Source organism: Homo sapiens, chromosome X (assembly GCF_000001405.40).
Source record: "Homo sapiens chromosome X, GRCh38.p14 Primary Assembly".
NCBI lineage: Eukaryota > Metazoa > Chordata > Mammalia > Primates > Hominidae > Homo > Homo sapiens.
Window position 1 is genome coordinate 47,183,086 of NC_000023.11, and position 7,761 is coordinate 47,190,846.

The window sequence follows — 7,761 nt, forward strand, 5'->3', positions numbered from 1 at the left end:
TTGGCATCTGGTGAGGGCCTTCTTGCCGCATCATAACATGGCAAAGGGCAAGAGAGCATGCATGAGAGCAAGAGAAAATTGGGCCAAACTCCCCCTTTTTATCTGGAACCCACTCAGTGATGGCATTAAATGGAGACTCAAAAGGTGGAGGGGGGCCGGGAGCCGTGGCTCATGCCTGTAATCCCAGCAGTTTGGGAGGCTGGGGTGGGCAGATCACCTGAGGTCAGGAGTTTGAGACCAGCCTGGCCAACATGGCGAAACCCCGTCTCTACTAAAAATACAAAAATTAGCCAGGCGTGGTGGCAGGCGCCTGTAATCCCGGCTACTCAGGAAGCTGAGGCAGGAGAATCACTTGAACCCAGGAGGCGGAGGTTGCAGTGAGCTGAGATCGTGCCATTGCACTCCAGCCTGGGCAACAAGAACGAGACTCCTTCTCAAAATATATATATATTATATATATATAAAGGTGGAGGAGATGGGAGGGGGTGAAGGATGAAAAATTACTTAATGGGTATGATGTACATTATTTGGCTGATGGATGCTCTAAGAACCCTGACTTCAGCACTATACAATCTGTGCATGTAACAAAAGCACTTGTTTATTTTATTTATTTATTTATTATTTTTTTGAGATGGAGTTTCGCTCTTATCATCCAGGCTGGAGTGCAGTGGTGCAATCTCGGATCACTGCAGCCTCCACCTCCTGGGTTCAAGCAATTCTCCTCCCTCAGCCTCCCGAGTAGCTGGGATTACAGGCATCCGCCACCATGCCCAGCTAATTTTTTTGTAATTTTAGTAGAGACGGGTTTTCGCCATGTTGGCCAGGCTGGTCTCAAACTCCTGACCTCAGGTGATGTGTCTGTCTCGGCCTCCCAAAGTGCTGGGATTATAGGCATGAGCTACCGCGCCTGGCTACAAAAGCACTTGTTACCCCATAAACTTATACAATTTCTTTAAAAAGCAGCCGCGATCTCTTGAGGAGGGCAGAGCCTTTGTGACCTAATCACCTCTGAAAGGCCCTGCCTGTCAACACTGTTGCATCAGGGATTAAATTTATCTTTTGAGATGGAGTTTCACTCTTGTTGCCTGGGCTGGAGTGCAATGGTGCAATCTCAGCACACTGCAGCCTCCGCCTCCCGGGTTCAAGGAATTCTCCTGCCTCAGCCTTCCAAGTAGCTGGGATTACAGGCATCCACCACCACGCCCAGCTAATTTTGTATTTTTTTAGTAGAGCTGGGGTTTCACTGTGTTAGCCAGGCTGGTCTCAAACTCCTGACCTCAAGTGATCCACCCGCCTTGGCCTCCCAAAGTGCTGGGATTACAGGTGTGAGCCACTGCACTCAGCCGGGATAAAGGCTCCACCTGTGAACACTGTTGCATTAGGGATTACATTTCTGACACATGAACTTTGAGGGACAAAAAACATAGCAGAGAACACAGCCAGAGAGGGGCTTGGCAAGAAGCACTGGTGACTGGTGACAGAAAATAGGAACTTGCACTACTGTGTCCCTCACCTTCTGATTGTTCTGCCTCAGCTTCCACTCATCTGCCTCCCAGATGGGCCCGCCACTCTGTCCACACTGCTTCTGCCACCTCACCATTGCAAACCAGTGGGGGTGGGGGCACAGGGTGTGTTCAGTGATGAGGTCAGGAGTAGCCAGGTGCCAAGTGCCTTGCAGGCTGTGGTTGCGAGTTTGGGTTTATTCTTGGTGTGATGGGAGGCGAAGGAAGGGTTTTAAGGACATTGTATTTGGGGGTGGGAGTGGCTTATACTTCATGAAAGAGCGCTCTGCTGGGAAAGGTGGTCAGGAGCCGTAGCCCAGAGGCCAGATGAAGCCTTCTGCAGTGGTTCGGACTAGGGATAGTGGCTGGCCCGTGTTTGAGGATGCAGGGCAGTGGGTCAGCAGATAGAGTTAGTAGCCCCAGGGTCATGAGGGTTCTGGGAACCTCACCTCCACCCTCACCCCCAGATTGCCAAGGACATGGAACGCTGGGCCCGCAGTCTCAACAAACAAAAAGAAAACTTCAAAAATAGCTTCCAGCCTATCAGCTCCCTGCGAGATGACGAGAGGCGGGAGTCAGCCACTGCAGATGCTGGCTATGCCATCCTCGAGAAGAAGGTGTGTTGGGGCCACCCCCCTGCACCCTGCCCCACAATCTTGTCCTTCCTTTGGGCCCTCTGTGGAGTCCCTGAATTTCTGTGTCCCTCCACCCCAGGGAGCACTAGCCGAGAGACAGCACACCAGCATGGATCTCCCGAAATTGGCCAGTGACGACCGCCCAGTGAGTGCCCAAGGCAGAGAGGGGCGGGGGCTCTGATCTGGCCAGGCCTGACCGCCCACCCTCACCCTCTACAGAGCCCTCCGCGAGGACTGGTGGCAGCCTACAGCGGGGAGAGTGACAGTGAGGAGGAGCAGGAGCGTGGGGGCCCTGAGCGGGAGGAGAAGCTCACCGACTGGCAGAAGCTGGCCTGTCTGCTCTGCCGACGCCAGTTCCCCAGCAAAGAGGCGCTCATCCGGCACCAGCAGCTCTCAGGGCTCCACAAGGTAACAGCGGATGGTTGGCAGGGCATGCTGGGGCCTGGCCCACTGAGGCTCATCCTCTTCACTTCTCATCCTGTCCCTCTTGCAGCAAAACCTTGAGATTCACCGGCGAGCCCACTTGTCAGAAAACGAGCTAGAAGCACTAGAGAAGAATGACATGGAGGTGAGGTGTGACCTGACCCTGGGCTCCCTCCCCTGTGTCCCTTCCAAGTCCCCATCACCTCAGGCAGCTGGAGTTCAATTTCTCACGTGTTAACCCCGTGAGCCTTCTTCCCCATTTTCCTATCCTGGCTGCTTGTGCCTGTGATGGCCTGACCCTCAGGACCTGAGCCTCATTAGCCAGATGGCATGCCCTGTGGGACCCCACTCCCCATGCCTGTGTTGCCTGAGAAAAGAGACCAGCTCCCCAACATTCACATACACATACAAACTTTCAGCAAATGAAGTACCGGGACCGTGCAGCTGAACGCAGAGAAAAGTATGGCATCCCCGAGCCGCCAGAGCCCAAGAGGAGGAAGTACGGCGGCATATCCACAGCCTCTGTGTGAGTGGCTGGGCCAGGTGAGGGGGTCTGGAGCCCGGGGCCGGGGCCGGCAGGCCGACCACTCATGCTGTGCACCGCCCCTGCAGAGACTTCGAGCAGCCTACTCGGGACGGGCTGGGCAGTGACAACATTGGCAGTCGGATGCTGCAGGCCATGGGCTGGAAAGAGGGCAGCGGCCTGGGCCGCAAGAAGCAGGGCATTGTAACGCCTATCGAGGTGAGTCTCAGGCAGTCCTGTCCCATCCCCCAGCACCCCTCACAGCATCCCCCACCAGCCTGACAGAGCCTGCCTCCCTCACACAGGCCCAAACACGGGTGCGGGGCTCCGGCCTGGGTGCACGGGGCAGCTCCTACGGGGTCACCTCAACCGAGTCCTACAAGGAGACACTGCACAAGACAATGGTGACCCGCTTCAACGAGGCCCAGTGAGCAGCTTCAAGAGCAACTTCTCCACATGTTGGGTGTCCATCCTGGGGCAGGGAAGGACAGAGTGTTGGATGGCTGGGACGGGGCCTTGCTCTTGTCGGCCAGCCCACTCCCCAGCCAGAGAGGGCTTGACCAAATCAAATTGAGGTGGTGACTTTTGTTGGAAAATTGGGCTGGGATCACGTCCTGTTTTGTAATAAAAGCTGAAAAGTCTGCATGTTGGCCTCTCCTCTTTCTCGTGCTCTAGCACAGTTGTATAGCCTATACAGACACGGGGACCCAAGCAGATGGACAGGGGACCTTATCAGGCCAAGGTGGATGGCAGTGGTGGCATTCAGTGTCTGGAACATAATGGCTACTAGAACATGGGGTTCTGACCTGTACCCCGACCCATAATATCCTGGTTATGGCCCCTCTCCCTTGTTGGTTCCAGCAGGTTATGTTGTACCAGGAAATCTAGCACCACCAGGCATGAAGCGCCCCCTGATCAGAGCTAGGACTGGGAACCCCCATCCCCTGTCCTTGCTGCCCCCTGGCTTTACTTAGCCTGCAGTCCCAAGGCTAAACTGCATTTTGCCATCCCTAGATCTGGAGACAATGCCCTCAGGCATCTCCAAGTAGAATACAAGAGGTACTCAGGTTCCAGTTGGCCCAGAGCCCTCAACAGGCTGATGACAGAGGGGTGGAGGTGGAGCTTGGCCTGCAAATCCAAGGCCAGGTCCCAGGGATGCCCTTTGAGAACCATTCAGGCCTACCTTCTCTGTTGTTACCACAGTGCCCCACCCCTCTAGTCACTGCAACCCATGATTCCCAAGTATGTGCTTGTGCTCTCGGCAGAGGTTCTGGGTACAGTGGACCGTGACGCTGGGGCTGCCCTCTTCCAAGCCTCAGAGGGCCACAGCGTGAAAGGGGGATGGTGCTAGAAGACCAGTTGGTGCAAAGCCCCTCCCCCATTTATTAATATACATTGTGACACCACCCTGCAACAGTCATAGGAGGTGGGGTTAGAAGGGGACCCCTAGAGGTAGGATGGTGCTGATCTGGGGTGGTGGGTGTTGCCCAATGAAGGAAGGGGATGGGAGAAAAAAAGGGTGAAGGAAACAGGATTAAAAAGAGGCCTCCTGGGCCTGGGCACAGTGAGTTGCACCTGTAAGTAATCCCAGCAATTTAGGAGGCTGAGGCAGGCGGATCACTTGAGCTCAGGAGTTCAAGACCAGCCTGGATAACATAGCCAGGCCCTGTCTCTACAAAAATAAATAAATAAATAAAATTAGGCTGGGCGCAGTGATTCGCGCCTGTAATCCCAGCATTCTGGGAGGCCGAGGCAGATGGATCACTGGAGCTCAGGAGTTTGAAACCAGCCTGGGCAACAAGGTGAAACCCCGTCTCTACAAAAAAAAAAGTACAAAAATTAGCCAGCTGTAGTGGCACACACCTGTAATCCCAGCTACTCAGGAAGCTGTAGTGGGAGGATTGCTTGAGCCCGGGAGGTGGAGGTTGCAGCGAGCCGAGATCACGCCCCTGCACCCAAGTCTGGGGGACAAGAGTGAAACCCTTTCTTGAAAAAAAGAGGCTGCCCTAGTCTCAGGATGGGTGTGTCTTTTAGCAGAGACGCCTCCACATTCCCTTCCCTCTTCCCACCCCAGAGCACTGCTCCCAAAATCCCACAAGGAACCCTCAAAGCTCAACTGGCAGGAGTGCAAAATGATACAGCCACTCTGGAAAACTGGCTGCTTCCTATAAAGTTAACATATGCTTAACCTATGGCCCAGCAATTCTACTCTTAGATATTTAGCTCCAAATACATGAAAACATGTCAACAAAAGACTTGCATACATATATTTGTAGCAGCTGTATTCCTAATAGCCAAAAACTGGGAACAACCCAAATGTCCAACTAGAGGAGAATGGATACAGTGTGGTATATTCAAAGGATGGACTACAGCTCAGCAATCAAAAGGAACACAATGCTGATACAGATATCAAAGGATGAGTCTCACATGGTGAGATTGTTCACATGGTGAAAGAAGCCAGACACAAAAAACACATAATGTTTCATTCCATTTATATGAAGTTCTAAGGCAGGCAGAACAATTTTATGGTGATAGTAGAAGAGGGTTGAGGTGAGGAGGGTGTCACTGGAAAGGGTTGCAAGGTAGCTTTCTGGAATCATGAAAAGTTTCTATGTCTTGATTGGGGTGCTGGTCACATGGGTGTATACCTATTTAAAAGTCCAACAAGCTGTATAACTAAAATCTGAGTGTTTTATTGTATGTAAATTATACAAGAAGTTGGAAAATCACCACCACAGCAAACCTCAATAAATAAGAAGGAAATAATGAACAGAAATTGATGATATAGAGAACAAAAAATGACAGATTAATAGAAACCAAAAGCAGAATCTGAAAACAAAAATTAAGAGGAAACACTTTTGGCAAGACTGGTCAATTGAAGAAGATAGAAGATGCAAATGCAACAGAGCTTTTAAAAATAAAGAATGTATCTGAAAATCTAGATGAAATGAATATATTCCTAGAGAAATATCAAATGCCAAAACTGTTCCATGGAGAAACTGATTACTCAAATGGAGCAATTAGTAATATAGAAATTGAAATGGTTGTCAAGATCTTCCCTTTCCCCACAAAAAAAAAAAAAGGGCCCAGATGATGTGTGTATGTGTGTGTTCCTTTCTTTCTTTCTTTTTTTTTTTTTAGATGGAGTCTTACTCTGTCACCCAGGCTGGAGTGCAGTGGTGCGATCTCAGTTTACCGCAACCTCCACCTTCTGGGTTCAAGCAATTCTCTTGCCTCAGCCTCCTGAGTAGCTGGGATTACAGGTGTGCACCACCACACCCAGGGAATATTTTGTATTCTTAGTAGAGATGGGGTTTCGCTATGTTGGCCAGCTGGTCTTGAACTCCTGACCTCAGGTGATCCACCCTCCTTGGCCTCCCAAAGTGCTGTGATTACAGGCATGAGCCACCTCGCCTGGCCCAGATGGTTTTTATAAGAGCATTCTACCAAACTCCCAAGGATTCCTTTCTTATTAAAGTTAATTCCTTTCTTATTAAAGTTGTTCTAGATATTAGAAAAAAGAAAAGATGTCTATTTTAACAGGCTAGTGTTAGCTGAAGCTGCGAAGGAAGAGGCACTCTCATACATCGCTGGAGGCAATGCAAAATAGTACAACCCTCTCTTCCACCCTCCCTCTCCCTCTCCTTTGTCTATTTTCCTGCCTCCACAGGGCTCACTGTGGGACCACAGATGCACCCCACTATGCCCAGCTAATTCTTTGATTTTTTGTGGAGACCAGGTGGTGGTGGTGGGGTGTGTGTGTGTGTATGTTGGGGCGTGGGGGGGTCTCACTTTGTTGCCCAGGCTGGTCTTGAACTCCTGGGCTCAAGCAATCATCCTGCCTCAGCCTGCCAAAGTGATGGGATTATAGGCGTGAGCCGCCGCGCCCGGCCAAGACTCCATTTATTAAAAGGCTAAAGAATTTTGCCAGGCGCGGCGGCTCGCGCCTATAGTCCCAGCACTTTGGGAGGCCGAGCGGGCGGTATCGCCTGAGCTCAGGAGCTCTAGTCCAGTCTGGCTAACGTGGCGAAATCCCGTCTCCACTATGGTAACATGTAAACATAGAAAAGATAACAGTAAAATTTTTTCTGTGTTATAGGACCGTTGACCAAAATGTTATGCAGCACATGATTGTATATCCATAATTTATATTACTGTATATAGTCACAGATATCTATTATAATACGGGTTTGTATGTGAAACTATAATTTTACTTATTGTTATGTTTATGGTCTGTGTATCTTGCTAGAATGTCAGCTCCATGAGCCCAAGGAAGAATTTCCAGCACCTGGCCCATGTCAAATGAACTTTTTTGGCCACCTGAGTCTCGGTCTCCCCATCTGTAGGATGGGTGTGCCTTTCCATGTGGAGGCACCCACACGTTCCGTTTCCTCTTCCCACCCTACAGAGCACGGCTCCGGCAATTCCACAGCTCAGGCTTACATTTTCCCATATTCTGGACGCTGGTGCCCACCACGTGCACCAGGCACTGGCCAGACAGAACTACCACCCCCAGCATGCCGCGCGCATTTGGGCCGTACCACAACCTGTAGGGTCATCTGGGTCTGAAACGGGCACCAGCGACGCGGGAGCAGGGACTGACGCCCCTCTAGCAAAGCATCTGTGGTACATCCCAGACCCGGGGCTCTCCAAGGCCCCGCGCTTCCGAGCTCCGCGC

At 51.3% G+C, this 7,761-nt stretch overlaps 1 protein-coding gene across 14 annotated transcripts in view; it reads left to right on the forward strand.

Moving 5' to 3' along the window:
* Positions 1–3,728, forward strand: part of RBM10 (RNA binding motif protein 10) — a 41,593-nt gene extending 37,865 nt beyond the window's left edge. For all 14 annotated transcript variants that reach the window (NM_001204468.2, NM_001440861.1, XM_047442551.1 and 11 more), the window contains 7 exons: positions 1,970–2,119; positions 2,217–2,282; positions 2,357–2,545; positions 2,631–2,705; positions 2,980–3,086; positions 3,173–3,302; positions 3,389–3,728. In NM_001204468.2, coding sequence (NP_001191397.1) covers positions 1,970–2,119; positions 2,217–2,282; positions 2,357–2,545; positions 2,631–2,705; positions 2,980–3,086; positions 3,173–3,302; positions 3,389–3,514 — 843 coding nt within the window. In that variant the 3' untranslated portion in view covers positions 3,515–3,728. The remainder of the gene's footprint in view (positions 1–1,969; positions 2,120–2,216; positions 2,283–2,356; positions 2,546–2,630; positions 2,706–2,979; positions 3,087–3,172; positions 3,303–3,388) is intronic.